The sequence below is a fragment of the Homo sapiens genome, chromosome 1 (genome assembly GCF_000001405.40).
Source record: "Homo sapiens chromosome 1, GRCh38.p14 Primary Assembly".
In the NCBI taxonomy this organism is placed as follows: Eukaryota; Metazoa; Chordata; class Mammalia; order Primates; family Hominidae; genus Homo; species Homo sapiens.
The window spans coordinates 44,534,200-44,550,216 of NC_000001.11; the positions used below are offsets into that span (position 1 = coordinate 44,534,200).

Here is a 16,017-nt window from a genome sequence, read left to right on the forward strand (position 1 = left end):
GAACTCCTGCGCTCAAGCAATCCTCCCGCCTCAGCCTCCCAAAGTGTTGGGATTACAGGTGTGAGCCATTGCACCTGGCCTGAGCTTGATTTTTTTTTTACATTTCTATTATTATTATTATTTTTAATTTTATTATTATTATACTTTAAGTTTTAGGGTACATGCGCACAGTGTGCAGGTTTGTTACATATGTATACATGTGCCATGTTGGTGTGCTGCACCCGTTAACTCGTCATTTAGCATTAGGTATATCTCCTAATGCTATCCCTCCCTTCTCCCTGAACTTGATTCTTTAGTCAATTCAAATTACGATTGCATCTAAATACCAAATATCACTTCTTCACTGCTGGACTTTGACAAAGCATTGGCATTTAATCTGGTTTGGAGATGTTAATGGCCTTTCAGCCCATTGTTCTTTCCTTAGATTTGGGGATTATCAAGTATCAGAATGAGGTGGTCATTCCTTTATCATCACTGCCATCATCATCATCATGGTTGCCATCATAATAGCCGAATTATGAAACCTAGAATTGTATATGGAAGAGAAAGGTGATCCTCCAGTTCGTTAACCTCAAGTCTGTGATACATCAAAGCACACCCATTAGAAAATAGTCAAATCATTACGTCTCTAGTCATTTGTTATCTGATACGGACAGACATTTAAAGATTGGAGAGAACTAAAACAACAAAGAACATACCTGGAACAGAAATTTACTAAATGTTTTTAAGCTCTTCAAGTGGAGATGCTATTTAGAGCGGGAAAGGGGGAGCTATTGAGTTGTCCAGACTCGTTGTGACCAGGGAGCAAGTTACTGCTAATCTCCGTAGGAGGAGTAAAGCTTTCTGGCTTCATCGGGGGTAGGGGCTGGGAACTGGGGGAACAACTTCATTACATTTCCTTCTGTGTGAGGAGGGGCTTCAGGAGGCAGCTTCTTCTTTTTTTTTTTTTTTTTTTTTTTGAGACAGAGTCTCACTCGGTCACCCAGGCTGGAGTGCAGTGGCACGATTTCAGCTCACCGCAACCTCTGCCTCCCTGGGTTCAGCGATTCTCCTGTCTCACCCTCCCAAGTGGCTGGGATTATAGGCACATGTCACCATGCCCAGCTGATTTTTGTATTTTTAGTAGAAACGGGGTTTCACCATATTGGCCAGGCTGGTCTCGAACTCCTGACCTTGTGATCCGCCCACCTTGGCCTCCCAAAGTGCTGCGATTACAGGCATGAGCCACCGTGCCCGGCCAGGAGGCAGCTTCTTCTGAGAAATTTGTGAGAACTCCCACTGATGTTCCTTGCCTTGTTTACTATTAGGGTTCTTTGAGAGGAGCCCAGAGCCCAGGCCAGATGTGTTCACAATTTGAATTTAGTTTGTGAATTAGCACATCCACTATGGATCTCTAAAGGAAATGTGGCTGTTCATGTTAGTCTTTGAAGTTAATGTGTATTTCCTAATACCCACATCAGTCCTTCGATACACCAGCACAGCACAGGCAAAGTGGGACTGACCCGCCATCCTTCTGCGCAGCTCCTGGGTGACTACTGAAGCTGATGTCTACTTAGTAGAGGTCTGGGAGATTGTATGGGGCCTGGCTGGGACTTCTGGTCAGCGAGCAGACCTTTGAAGAATTGGCTTCTTCAAACCTGTGGCCCATTCCCAACAGTGAGGCTGCTGGGAGCTGGCTACGTGCTGTGGGTCCAGGCAGTTCAAGAGGCCTTCCTAGAATATATGAGAACTCTGCAAATTTTCCTTCAGCCTGGGGAGCGGTGAGAAAGGATGAAGTGTAACAGGGCCCTGAAACCTCATCCCAACTCGCTATTAAGCAAGGGTGCTCTTTTCTAATCTAATAGAGTAAAACTGAGAAAGGGGTCTTCTCTACTTCCCAATTCCAGGGCCTTCCTGCATTCGCTGGTGATGATGGAGTAGGGTGACCTTAGGAGGTGTGACTTGGGCCCTACAGGCTGTCTGGGAAAGTCAGAGCTTCCCTCCATACTCCTCCCAGAACACTGAGTGGGTGGCTGTGTTGTGAGAGTCCCTTGAGAGCCCAGAGGCAGAAACGAACTCTTTGCAAGAACGACGCATCTCCAGAACATCTTCTCAGAACAAGGCTGCCTTCACTAGAGCTCATTCAGTAAGTGCTTTAGGAATAAGGCAGTGGGGGTGAAACATTGCTTTGAACTGGGCTACCTGAACAGCAAGCTTGGAAGCCTGGAGAGCAGCAAGTGGTGCAGATTTACAAGACCTCATTAAACAGTCCGTGGGATTGATACAGGCCTTTATACTTGGAGGTTCTGGGCTGTCCAGCAGGCTGTGGGCCCTGTGTCCCCAGGGCCCTGGAACATGGGCCTGCAGCCTTTCTCAGCTCTCACCCTTGTCGCTTTCCTCTGGGGCTGCGGAGCTGGGGAAGGACGGATCTCTTTGCTTCACTCTCATGAAATGGCGCATCAGTAAGTGCTACTTAAGAAAACACATGGTCTGCCCCTCGAAAAGGCCCCCCTCTGCTGCTGCCGCCACCAACACCTTTCTTTATTCCGCCCAAACCTCACCAAGGGGAATTCGAAACAACTGTGGTGATAAATCCGCCTGCAGATAATTGGCAAGAAAACAACACTTGTGCAGTATATAACGTTTTATGGTTGTTTCATGTACTTTATTATAATACTAATGAGCAGTTATATATCAGGAGCTAACTGCACGCCGGATTAGCTTGTTAGCATGATATGAAATGGCAGAGCAAACAGTCCAGGCCCCTCGCTCCCTGCATGCCTCCCCCACCCTCCCTCCCTACCCCTCGGTCCCATTTGCACTCAGTAATTAGTATGCAAATTAGGCCCCGGGACCACACAAGTTCTAGTATATTACAAGGGCTTTATTATGCTCTTGTGAGTACATGATGGAAACGGCCCATGACAGTGTTTATCTCACTACCTCTGTCTTGCCTTCTTCTTTCTCTCTGCCCCTCTTCTACCCCCTGCATACACACACACACACAAACACCTTTCTTTGCGTGGTCTACAACCAACCCCTTCTTGTATCAGACCTCTAAACTTGATAGAGTTCACTAGGTCTTTCTGCCCCTGTTTGAACATATCCAGTGATGGGAATCCTGCTCCTTCTGGAAGCCATAGTTCCATTCCAATTACCATAATTGAAAGAAAATTCTCCCTTTTTCTGTGGTTCTTAATGTGTGTGTGTGTGTCACAGACTCCTTTCAGAATGTATTGAAAGCCATGAACACCTTCTACAAAAAAAAATGTATATTAACGTTTACATAACATTTTATATTCCATTTTAGGGACCCTAAACCCATGCATAGAGGGGGATCCATAGACTTCTTGCCTCATATTGAGCCAAAATTTGCCTTTCGTTACCCTAGGAGTAAAGTTCTGTCCTTTGAATCTCTTCAGAGGGAGTCTATTCTCTTTACTATATGATAAACTGGCAAATACTTAAGAATTCCTGTCGCATTTCTCAAATTCTTTCCCCAACTTCCCCAACCAATGATCACAAGTCAGGGTTCCAAGACATCTTTCCATCCTGACCCACCTCGCCCTAGTCACCTATCACCTGAATGGTACGAAGCCCAGAAAAGTGCAGAATGTTCCCACTGTGTTTGTGGTGTGACCAGCCCGCCTTTGTTCTGTGCACTGCGCCTCTGCCAATGTGGCTGGAGTCTTCAGAAGTCTTTTGGCAAATGTAAACTCAACCAGAATTCCTGGATCTTCTTCCCATGAACCTTCTCAAGGCGTAGCTTCTCAAACCTATACTTCCAGAAATTCTATTTTTAGCCTACATGCAGAATAGTTACTTTCGTCTGTTAAATCTCACCTGTATGCCTACTTGCAGAAGTGATTTTTGAATACTGATCCTGTACTTCATCTTGTTGGCTGTCCCTAGACTTATCTGACTATAAATGTGTTAGTCATGCTGTTCATGCCTTCAAGTTGTTGATAAAAATGCTGTACAGGACAAAGGACAAATCTGGTCATATGTCACTGGAGACCTTGTTTTCAAACTCTCATCAATATTCTTTGGGTGTGGTTATTCAGCCAGCTCTGTATCTACTTACCTTTCTCCAGTATTTTCTCTCTTGTCATGTCTTTTCCGTCTGATTTACCCTATAAATGTTTTTTTAATCCCTGCCCCTTCTTGAAACGATCCCCTTGATCCTGTATTTCCCCTTAAGCTACTCTTGTTTTTGTCATTTTCTTCTTAGTTGCATTTCTTGAAAGATTGGTCTACACTTTCTCACATCTCATCTAGAAGTGAGCTGGCTGGTATGGCTTCTGCCCTCGCTACTGCAAGTAAACTGCTCTCTCAAACAGCAGTAACAACCTCGGAATTGCCAAATTCTGTGGACATGTTTCTGTCTTTGTCTGTCTTAATTTCACTTTTGCATTTGGCACCAAAAATCATTGCCCTCTTAAAAAGCTCTATTCTGGCCAAGCGCAGTGGCTCATGCCTGTAATCCCAGCTCTTTGGGAGGCCGACACAGGTGGATCACCTGAGGTCAGGAGTTCAAGACCAGCCTGGCCAACATGGTGAAACCCCATCTGTACCAAAACTACAAAAATTAGCTGGGCGTGGTGGCAGGCACCTGTCATCCCAGCTACTCGGGAGGCTGAGGCAGGAGAATGACTTAAACCCGGGAGGTGGAGGCTGCAGTGAGCTGAGATCATGCCACTACACTCCAGCCTGGGCGACAGAGTGAGACTCCATCTAGGGAAAAAAAAAAAAAAAAAAAAGGCTGGGCGCGGTGGATCATGCCTATAATCCCAGCACTTTGAGAGGCCCAGGTGGGCGGATCACCTGAGCTCAGGAGTTGGAGACCAGCCTGACCAACATGGCGAAACCCCGTCTCTACTAAAAATACAAAAATTAGCCAGGCATGGTTGTGGGCACCTGTAATCCCAACTATTCAGGAGGCTGAGGCAGGAGAATCACTTGAACCCGGGATGCGAAGGTTGCAGTGAGCCAAGATCGCACCACTGCACTCTAGCCTGGGTGACAGAGTGAGACTCCATCTCTAAATAAATAAATAAATAAATAAAGTTCTATTCCTATGGTTCGCCGTGAGCCCTGATGTCACTCTCCCAGGTCTTTCCTGACTCTCTGAGCATCCCATCTCAGTCTCCTTGGGTGACTCCTCTTCTTTCACTTGCCCCCAAATGCCCGAGCTTTCTACTTATAGTTCTGTCTTCCCTCCTTTTATTCTTTTGTTTTCATTCAAAATGTGAATAAATACCATTGAGCCACTCTACGTGCCATGCACCATATGAGAGAGCAAGACACAAGGATTCACGTAGCCTGGAGCCCACCGTCAAGGAGCTCAGGCTAATCATCATAATGCAATGTAATGAGTGTCTGCAGAGAGGAGAGTATGGAAGGACATTACAGGAGCCAACAGGAACTAGTGAGCCAACCTGGAGAGTGTGGAAATGATTTCACAGAAAAGGTAACACTAAAGTCAGTCTTAAAGGATGAGTAGTGTTTACTAAGCTCTCCCCAAAATCTCTCATTTCTGAATCCAATACCTTATCATTTTTCATCTGTATTAATCCAACACTGTTCCAGAATTTTCTGATTCCCATCCTACTCTTTGCTTCCTCTAACCTGTACCTCTCCCCCAATCTATGCTCCACACTAATGATGCAGCAAGGTCTTTCTAAAATGCAAATCTGATTCTTTGTAAAATTCTTGATTGACCTCTTTTGCCTATTAGGATAAACTCCAAACTCTTCGGCGTGGTATGAATACTGTCTCTTACTAACCTGACCTCTGTCTAGCCTGCCAGCTCTCTTTGAGGGCCTTTTGTTTGGCAGGTGTTCTTGCCCACTGTGATAGGGTCCACCACTGGGCCATGAGAAATCCATCATTTAAAGGCATTCTTCCACACTGGCTTCAGCTGAACTTTGAAGAATGCTCCCCTTATGCAGCCAAGCTCAAAGTCTATGCCTGATGGTCTCCCCAGGATACCTCTGAGCAGCCTTCCTCAACCACTGCCCACATCTCTTCCCCAGGCTGCAGCAAGACCCCACAGCACAGGCAGACAGAGGAGAGAACAGGACGGCTGCTGCCCAAAGGAGAAGATCAGAAAGGAAGAATCTGTAAAGCATGAGCACAGAATAATGGGCTTCATGAATACTTAGCATAAGGAAGAGAGAAAAAAAAATCTGTGTAGCAGGCAGTTTTTGTAAAGCGTTGAACTGTACCACACATCACCCCCTGACAGGCCCTGATGTTAGCTCCTGGAATGGATCACAAGAGACTCATTAGAAAAAACAAATATTATCGCACGCTGAAATGATTTATGGAGAAAAATGAAAAATTTTGTGTTGTTGCGTTCCCTCTCACTCACTCCCCCTCGCCTCTGCCTTCTATGGGGAAGTTATTTATGGCTCTAGACCCTTAACAAGAGAACAGCAAAGCTCTGAGCTGATCACTCCTGCAAACTGCCTACATTTGATTTTTATTAGTGACTTAAAGCTTCCTTTTTTTTCTTTATTGTCCTGGGTGAACCAAAATGCATTTTAATGCCTGCTATTCAGGCCAGACAAGAAATGTGTAGATGCCTCCCACACAAACCAGCCACGCCAGTGTCTCTGTCCAGAACCGAGGGAGGTGTACAAGAAGGGACCAAGAAAGACCAAACTTTCTGAGAGCACGAGTCAGGTCTCCCTGGTGTGCAGGCCACTAGATATAGCAAGTTGATTTCCTCGTTTTTTGGGGCAGGGAGTGAACCAAGTAAGTTTCAGACAAGGAAAAGAGACAGTAATTAACATTTGTTACGGTGTTTGCAATCTGCCAGGCATTATTCTAGGTGTTTTCCCTTAGATTCTTTCACTTAATCTTCCCAACAACTGAGAGGTAGGTATCCTCATGCTTATTTCATGGAAGACGAAACTGAACCTCAGAAAAGTCAAGTAACTTTTCCAAAGTCAGACAGCTAGTAGGCCTTGAGTGGTGGCTCATGCCTGTAATCCCTGCACTTCAGGAGACCGAGGTGGGTGGATCACTTGAGACCAGGAGTTCAAGACCATCCTGGCCAACATGGCAAAACTTCATCTCTACTAAAAATATGAAAATTAGCCAGGTGTGGTGGCACACACCTGTAGTCCCAGCTACTCGGGAGGCTGAGATGGGAGAATCACTTGAACTCGGGAAGCAGAGGTTGCAGTAAGCCAAGATCGTGCCACTGCACCCCAGTCTGGGTGACAGAGTGAGACTCCGTCTCAACAACAAAAAAAGAAAAAACAAAGTCACACAGCTAGTAACTGACAGAACTGGGAATCAAATCCAGGTCCATCTCACAACATTGTCAGTATTTATCACCGTACCACATTGTCTCCTAAACTGGATCATGCTATCTCTAGAATCATAACTTCTGAGCACTAACTGGAAGGTTCCTCAGAGACTTACTTCACGGTCCCATCTTCTATCCACTGTAGGAGCTTTCCCTTTTCTGTTCCGGACGGTCATCACCATGTTCCTGTTGGAAGGTGCTGCTTCTCAAGGCAGCCCAGGGCGCTGCAGAGCAGTTCTAGACAGCCACAAGTCCTTTGCACACTGAACCGTCATCTGAGCCTCTCCTGTTTGGTCAGGTGCTTTCCCATTCAGTCACCTTGCTCTGAAACATTGCAACTGTCAGATTCCTTCTTCCCATATGTCTCCTGGATATAGGTAATTTTATAAAATTAAATTTTGAGAGATTCCTCTTAAGAAAAATTTTAACTTCAGAATGCCCCCGGGTGGAGCAAGACCTTTGCATCTCTCGCTGTGACAATCAGGATCCATGCTATGGCAGAGCCTGGGCTTGACCTAACTAAGCCTTTGGGGTCCTTTTCTGCCTGGCCTGTGTGATCCTGGACCTCTGTTCCTGTACACTGGTCCTCTAGGCTCTCTGGTTTCTCCAGCTGCTTCACATGATGCCAGCACTGGGCCAAGAACAGAGGGGGTACCAGTGCAGACCCAGTGGACCCTCACAAGGGAGCTTTACAGTGACCATCATTTTTCCTTTTCCATTGAGCTGTGACTTCCTACTGTCAATCAGACAGTGAACAAAGATGCACAAGAAACCTCAGTGGGCAGGAGCTGACCAAGTCTTTTATCTGTATCTGGGTGCCGTGAGTCCAAGGCTGTGGCCTCACTGAGGACAGTCAGCAGAGGGTTACACACTGAGCCTTGAGTGACTAGCCTTGGAAAATGCCCTGCCCATGCCCCTGTACTTTAGGATGTCCTATGGGGGAGGGAGGAGGATATAGGGAATTTAGCAGAAAGTAAGAAACTACCACAGAGATGGCTGGGGAACCAGGCTCAGGCGCACAATCCCAGCTAATCCTAATCTGTGTTTTCCCTCCACAGCGTGTCCCCAGGGGGGAGCTAGGGTTCCAGGAAGAGAGGATGGTGTTCTTGACAACAAGGGGCTGGGAGCCCCAGATGAAAGGCCATGGGGGCTGCACTTCAGGGTGATCCGTAACTCACTCTGACATCTGAACAGAAGGAAGGGCTGCCCAGGCCCCTGCCCCACCACCTCTCATTTAATCCACAGGGAGACAGGGAGCCCAGCCTTGGGACGTTGCTAGCAGCTTCCCCTGAACCCTCGAGTTCTCCTGTAGCAAATTGGGCTGACCAAAGAAGGCTGGAGAGGGGAGGAAGGCAGTGCTGGAGAAAGGAGTGGTTACCTTGAGTGGGGCTGGGGGCCGGAGGGTCTGCGCCTCCCCTCCCTGCCCCAGCCCCTCCCAGGCCCGCTCCAGGGCCAGCCGCACTGGGCCTCATTCCTGGAGGGCCCTGTCTCTCGGCAGTGTTGCTAGGTGCGGTGAGCCCAGGCGCCTGCCACCGGCTGGCCAAGGCTCTGCCTGGAGACCATCGGAGAGCTGGGAAGAAGGAGCTGCATTATTTGGTTGATCCCTCCCTCCCTCCCCCAGCCTCAGCACAGTGAGCTTTCCGGAGGGATGGTTCTGAGCCAGCCCATCCCCAGGCCTTCCTCTTTGTGCAGAGACCTCCCCGTCAGACCCCCCACCTTCGCCGGCTACCCCCTCCCCCTTCCCTCCGGTTGAGCAGAGCCAGAGTTAAGCCTGGGGTTAATGCCCAGTGACACCTGCAGGTTGGCTAGTGTTGTTGACATGGGGCTGGGGGGAGGGGAGGGGGTGATGGGGGAGATCGTTGGTGGCTTTATTATGGAGAACTCAGCAGGCCTGGGGCCTTCTATTGTCCAAGTGGCAAATAAATAAATAGGAGAAAGTAAGTCTTCCCCATGGCTTACCGACGGGAGGTTAACAGCTGGACATGACATGACAAATTGGGCATTTTTCTTTGGGGACTGATCCTTACAGCAGCTAGCAGGGAGAATGAGAGAGAGAGAGGGAGGGGGAAGTAGAGAGAGCAAAAGCAAGCCGGAGCACGGAAGGGGCTAGTCACAGAAGTCAACGTGGAAGCCGTGTGTGCATGTACAAGAGTACGTGACCGGGGTGTACAGGAAACATTGCATCATGTTTTGGGCATTAAAAAAAAATACATGCAAGCATTTCACATGTAACGACTTCAGGAGTCAATCCCAGAACCCCAAAAGCTGGGTATCTGGCTGTGGGGGGAGATATCTCTGGGATCTGCCTTCTTGAACCCCTCCCCCGTCCTGCCAAATGGAAAAACCAAAAGGTCAACGCCAGCTCTGATCCCAAAGAATCTCCTTCCTCCAGATGAGTGGGATTACTGGGCAGTGGCGAGTGGTGGAGCAAGCAGCCTATCTCCAGCCTGGGCCCGGGGTGAGAACTCTTGCATTATGCCCAGTTGCCCGGAACTGGTCCCAGCTGGACAGCAGAGCATCCCACTGGCCTGTGGAGCTGGGGACAGAGAGCAGCAGCTCTCCCCTGACCCTGTCCCATCTTCCTCCTCATCCCCAGGGAATACCCAGCAAGAGGTCGGGAGGACCACAGGAGACAACCACTCCCAAACAATGATCTCAGTTGCCCACTGTGAACTGGAGCGGGGGTGGGAGAAGAACAGAGCAGGAGCAGACAGGAAAATGCTTGATCTCTGCCGGGGCCCCAGAACCATCTGAGCCAAGGACTGCTCTCCATCCCTGTCTTCTGAGGCTGTAGATTATAGTGGGTAGTCACTTGTGCTCTGGAGTCAGACAGACCTGGGATCACCCTGTTCCTCTTGTTCTTGGCCCTGTGATCTTGGCATGCTATTTAACCTCTCTGAGCCTCAGTTTCCTTATAGGTAAAATGGGACTAATACCAGTACTAGCCAGCACGAGGTTTTAATGAGTTCATGCATGTAAGTGCTGAGTGCAGAGTCTGGCACACGATAAATCCTTTATAAATGCCACTCAGCATTGCTCTGGGGCTAGCCAACCTTTTCCTCCCTGTTGCCCTGTGTTTTAAGATTGACTGAGGGCTCTATAGAACTGTCCTCCGGAGAAGGAGGGAAGTGCATCTCTAGCTCACCTTTCTGGAAGTTATCCTTTCAATCTCCAAAGGCTGGGCATGGATTAGCCTAAAGCCTTGTGGAACTTTGCCTTCCAAGACATGTTTGTTTCTAGCAGTGGGCTGCAAGGAGAAGCCTTGTGGCTGTGATTCTGCTCCATGCCCACTCCACGGCGGATGCCTGACCAGTGTTCCAAGGACATTTTGAAGGAAGAGAGGATTTCTGATTTCCAGGAGGGGTTGTTGTATGTCCTGGAATGCAATCTCTCCATTCTCCCACTGGGTACAGAGAAAAACCACAGGAAAATGGTGAGAAGATGCTGAATGAGTTAATGCAACCAGGAAATACTTATTGAGCATGTACCAAGTGTCAAGCATGGCTCTAGACCCTGGGAATAGAGCCACAAACAAAGCGGGCTAAAATCCTTGCCCTTGAGGAGCTTACGCCGTAGTTCTCTAGGAAGGCAAGCGGGACACCTCGGCGTTGCCTCCACCCCTTCCATGTGGCCATGGTCCATTGTGATCTTCTATGCTCTTCCTGTTGGATTCAAATCAGGCCTCACAGAAGAGCCAGTCACAAAGGGAACTCGGAGATGTGCAGGACAGAGAGAAGAGCTGACGGGACATCTGGTACCTTCGGTTGGAGGGAGGGCAGTTTCTGAGGATTAAAAGAAGCTTTATTGAAGGGAGGTTTGAAAGGAGAAGAATTGTGGAGAAGAAAGCTACTGTGTATTTCATGCTGATTCCATGCCATTAACTTTCAGGCACTTTACATCCATTATCTAATTTTATCCTCAGGCACTCAGCAAGGCAGTTCACGTTATTCCCACCTTGAGATTCAGAGGAGGAAGTGACTAATCCAAGATCCATAACAGGGAAATGGGAAGAACTAGATTTGAATCCAGACCTTTAGTTCTTCCCTTTGCCCAATTATGCTCCTTGTGGTTTGCTGGAGAAAGCCTGGCAGAGGGTGCAAGGGCAACAGTGGGGGTGGGGGTGCAGAGGCTAGGAGACCTGACCAGAGTGTAGAGGGGTTCACAGGGCCAAGGAGAGGAGATATCTAGGGGGCCTAAAGATGGGTGAGACCTCTGAGCCTCCCTAAAACAGCATACTGCAACCTCTTCATCAGAAACCCAATTTTTTTTTTTTTTTTGAGATGGAGTCTCACTCTTGTTGCCCAGGCTGGAGTGCAATGGCGCAAACTCGGCTCACTGCAACCTCCACCTCCTGGGTTCAAGCAATTCTCCTGCCACAGTCTCCCGAGTAGCTGGGATTACAGGCATGCGCCACCACGCCCGGCTAATTTTCTATTTATAGTAGAGACGAGGAGAAACCCTTTCTTGCATGTTCTCCTACCTCATTGCAAACCTTTCTGAACTGAGTGAGGGGCATTCTGAACCTGAGAGAGAAAGGGGCTAGTTCTCTGAAGATCATCACCAGACCATAGAACCAAAGTGGGTAGAAGGTTTGTAAAAGGAGGTGGAAGGTGTGACAAAGACAATAAGCACCCGAGATGACTCACACTGCTTGCCAGGTAAGCATGGGCTGCAGGACGTGGGAGGAGAAGCTGGCGAGCTCACTCTCGGTCCTGGTTCTTCCGGCCACCCAGCCTCTTCATGGCCAGTACCAGAAGGCCAGATCCCTGTCCTCCTCCCCAGGCCCAGAGCCATGGCTCAGTGGCCCCCCAGGCCCAGCCTAAGAGGTCGCATGGCTAGGACTTCTACCTGGAGAATCACCTCCACCGCAACATCTGAGAGCAGGAGCCACACAGGAGCTTTCTTCTTCCAGGAAGTCCCTTCCCCCAGCCCCCTGCTACTCACTCCCCTATATAATATTCCACGTTAGAGCTCATAAATGCTGCTGCGGGTCCCCAGCCTGATTGAATTTGGAAGCCATTGTTTACAGACGTCTGGCTGTACAGGGGGATTTATTGAATTTTCCATGAAATGTTGCTCCCCTAATGCTGTAAAAGGCAAGCAGACCACATCAGAGGAGCCCTGCGTTACAGGATCATGTTACCCCGAGATGGAGTGCTTGCTTCAGAGTCATTGATGCACCGAGCTCTGGCTCTGAAAAGTAAGACCTCGGGCATCACTCCTGACCCCTCGCTGGCACCCCAAAGCTGGGACTTCTGAGCCAGCTCTGCCCCTGCATTTCCCTCCACCCATGTCTGGTTAGTCTCAAATCCCTCTCCCACATCCACTCTCCTCTCCAGCCCACCTGCTATGGACAACTGCATTGCTACAGCAGCCTCTCCAGGCGCCTCCTGGCGGTCCTCTCTCACCTGCCCCAGTCCCAGAGTCATACCCCTCAAGGCAGATGACACTAAGGAGGGGTTCAGCAAGTAAATAAGCAAAGGAAGAGAAGGAAGCAGGGCAGAAAGAAGGGAGAAGAAAACCAAGGTGTTCATGTTGTCACACATTGAGAGGGATGCTTCCTCCAGGGTGCCTGGCACATTAGGCCCTGGGAATCTGTGGACACGAGAGCCCCCAGGATGGGAAAAGGCATTGCCAACAGCCCTGTGAGACAGAGCTGAAGTGAAGATGTCTCCTTGTGTGTGTCACAAAAATGCAACTGGACCAAGCCTTCCCCATTTTAAAAAACACATTCTTTAAACCCTCCTCACTCCTTGAGCTTCTGTCCCCTTCACTGCCTCACTGCTCAAAGGCTTTTTTATATTTAACCACTTCCATTCTCTCCACTGGCTCATTTCTGCCACAGTCCTTACCTCTTTGGTGAATCTGTTCTCCTAAAGATTGTTCATCCACATCTCCAAGTCCATGTTGGTGTTCACCCTTCTTAACATCTCTTCGCCTAACCCTGCGGTCACCCTCCTGAAACACTTTTCTCTCTCGGCATCTCTCATACCACCTCCTGGTTCTCCTTGCAGACAGCTCCTTCTCTGGCTCTTTGCCCTCCTGCCACCCTAAATAAAAGTAGGTGTTTCCCAGTGTTCTACCTTTGACCCTCTTCTCTCGGTGCACACTTTAATCTGATGAGCTCATCCATTCCTGCAGCTGCAGCTATTATCTTTATTTAGAGGACTCCTGAATATAAAGCTCCAAATCTGACCTCGTGCTGCTCTGGTCCCATTTTTCCAACTGCCTGGTGAATATCTTCAGCGCTTTGTCCAATAGACATCTCAAAATTCAATCCGCCATGTAGCCCCAACTCCCATGATAATTCACCTTCAGCGGTCATTATTTCTGTTGATGACATTGTCATCCTCTCAGTTATCCAGTCATGAGATCTTGAAGTGGTCTTTGGTATAGCTGCTCTAGGCCCATCTACCTACTGCATACTGAGTATCTCAACCCAGACTCTTAACACAGTCTTATTACCCCCAGCACCCGCACACATCAACTCGCAACTTGTTCTCTTTCCTTCATTTTCTCTCTACCACGAACAGTACCGCTATTGTCCCAGGCCCTTAAGCCAGAATCCTAGGCATCCTCACCGTCTTCTCTCTTGGCCTCACATCCCCCATGTCTCGTTAGTCACGAAATCCTGTGGATTCCTTATCGTCCCTTATATATGTCCCCTTATCTCTAGCCCCTGCTACTGACTTAGTTCAGGTCCTCCCTGTAGCTCACTTATACTGTCTAAAAAATCCTTCTGACCAATGTTCACCATCCAGTCTTTCTCCCTGCCGTCCATCCTCCCCACTGCTGCTCACATGATCTTCCTAAAACGTGACTCTAACACCTGTCTAAAACACTCCAACAGCTCCTCATTGCTTCCAGGATTACATCAGAGCTCTCTAATGCCTCCTAGCATTTGCACACAAGATTTCCTTTACCTGGAATGTTTCTTCCTTCCAGGCTCCCCACCTAGACTCCTTCATTCAGCCTCTGGTACTCTCCCAATTCTTCTTTTCTTTTTTTTTCTTTTTAGACAAGGTCTCACTCTGTCACTGAGGCTGGAATGCAGTGGTATGATTGCACCTCACCACAGCCTCGACCTCCAGGACTCAAGCAATCCTCTTACCTCAGCCTCCCTTGTAGCTAGGACTACAGGTACCACATCTGGCTTAATTTTTAAAAATTATTTTTGTAGAGACAGGGTCTTGCTGTGTTGCCCAGGCTGGTCTCGAACTCCTGGCCTCAGGCAATCCTCCTACTTCAGCCTCCCAAAGTGCTAGGATTACAGGCGTGAGCCACTGCGCCCAGCCTCATTCTTTAAAACCCAGCTCAGAGATGCTGTCTTCCCTAACCCCTCCAAACATAAGTGGAAACCCTTTCTTTCTAGTAAGCAACTACTGTACTTAGTTCTTGACACTCTCAAAACAGCTATGATTGGCCGGGCGTGGTGGCTTATGCTTGTAATCCCAGCACTTTGGGAGGCCAAGGCGGGCAGATCAGTTCCAGACCAGCCTGGGCAATGTGGTTAAACTCTGTCTCTACTAAAAATACAAAAATTAACCAGGTATGGTGACACATGCCTATAACCCCAGGTACTCAGGAGGCTGAGACACGAGAATCACTTGAACCCAGGAGATGGAGGCTGCAGTGAGCCAAGATCACACCAGTGCACTCCAGCCTGGGCAACAGAGTGAGAGACTCTGTCTCGGGAAAAACAAACAAACAAACAAAAACAGCTATGATGTAGCATTGCAATGTTGATATACAAGGCCATCTTTCCCAACTATTCATTTCATTAGCCCCAGTCCCTAGCACAATGCCTTGCATATAGGAGGCTCTCTGAACAATTGCTAAGTGAAGGTCAAGTTTAAGCGAAGGAGGCAGAGCGCACATGAGGAACTTTTATCACCAAGGGGAATTTTTCTCTCTCCACCTTTTCTGTGGTTCTCAAAAAGGGTGAATTCCAAGAGTGATAGTCTCTTGCTCGCAACCCATCATTCCTAGAATCCTGGTGTTTCCAACAGTAAGAGGTGTTCACCAGCCAGCAGGTCCTGAAGCCTTGGAACTCCCTCTCTCTCTTCCCTCCTTGCCCAGCGTGATCAGCCTGATGTCTCTTCCCTCCCAGTTCTGCTTCCCCATTCTAGTGACCCCTTCCTCCCCTTCCTCCTGCTGCTTCTTAACTGGGGGACTCCAGTGTGACTGAAGGGCCTCAGAGGGAAAACAATGATCCTCCAGAGAGAGCATGTGTTCACCACGTTAGGTAAACACGCCAAGCTGCAGGGGCCGCCTGAATGAGGGGTCTCCAGCCAGGGATGGGGAGAATCCCACACCAGCATCTTAGCTGGCAGACAGACCCACCTTCGCCCTGAGTAGGGGGTGGGCAGTAGCTCTGAAGAGAAGTAGCAGGACATTGTTTTCTCAGATTTCATTGGTTTATTTATCCTACGCCTGGGCTCCATCTGTCCTGTCTCCAAAAAGTGAAGCAGCAAGGACTCCAAGCCACCAGAGAAGCCCTGTCCTCAGCCTGCAGCTCTGCGAGGACCTAGAGCCAAGCGGAGTTGGGAGTTTGTCCCCTGCAGGGTAGAAGCCTGGGAATGTTTCAGGCCCTATGGCTCAATTGCCCAAAGGGATAGAAAGAGAGCAAATAGGCCAAAAAGATAGCATGAGCGTAGGCCTGAGCCCTCCTGATTCCTGACTGGTGTCCCTCCACAGTCCCCTTGGCAAAGCCAAGAGGG

The 16,017-nt window shown here is 48.7% G+C and overlaps 1 protein-coding gene and 1 non-coding gene across 16 annotated transcripts in view, besides 2 other annotated features; both read left to right on the forward strand.

Annotated features, from left to right (window-relative positions):
- The window catches only part of RNF220 (ring finger protein 220), a 246,942-nt gene that overhangs the window by 129,417 nt on the left and 101,508 nt on the right, over positions 1 to 16,017 (forward strand). The window lies entirely within an intron of this gene.
- Positions 7,590 to 8,397: an enhancer, noted in NCBI's record as "H3K27ac-H3K4me1 hESC enhancer chr1:45007461-45008268 (GRCh37/hg19 assembly coordinates)". NCBI's record gives its function as "activates a minimal SCP1, AML or CMV promoter by ChIP-STARR-seq in naive and primed H9 embryonic stem cells {active_cell/tissue: H9 hESC(naive and primed)}" and the evidence as "EXISTENCE:reporter gene assay evidence [ECO:0000049][PMID:30033119]".
- On the forward strand, positions 11,294 to 11,353 carry MIR5584 (microRNA 5584). The gene has a single exon (NR_049849.1). It is a non-coding gene; the product is annotated as a microRNA 5584 (primary transcript).
- Positions 11,511 to 12,037: an enhancer, noted in NCBI's record as "H3K27ac-H3K4me1 hESC enhancer chr1:45011382-45011908 (GRCh37/hg19 assembly coordinates)". NCBI's record gives its function as "activates a minimal SCP1, AML or CMV promoter by ChIP-STARR-seq in naive H9 embryonic stem cells {active_cell/tissue: H9 hESC(naive)}" and the evidence as "EXISTENCE:reporter gene assay evidence [ECO:0000049][PMID:30033119]".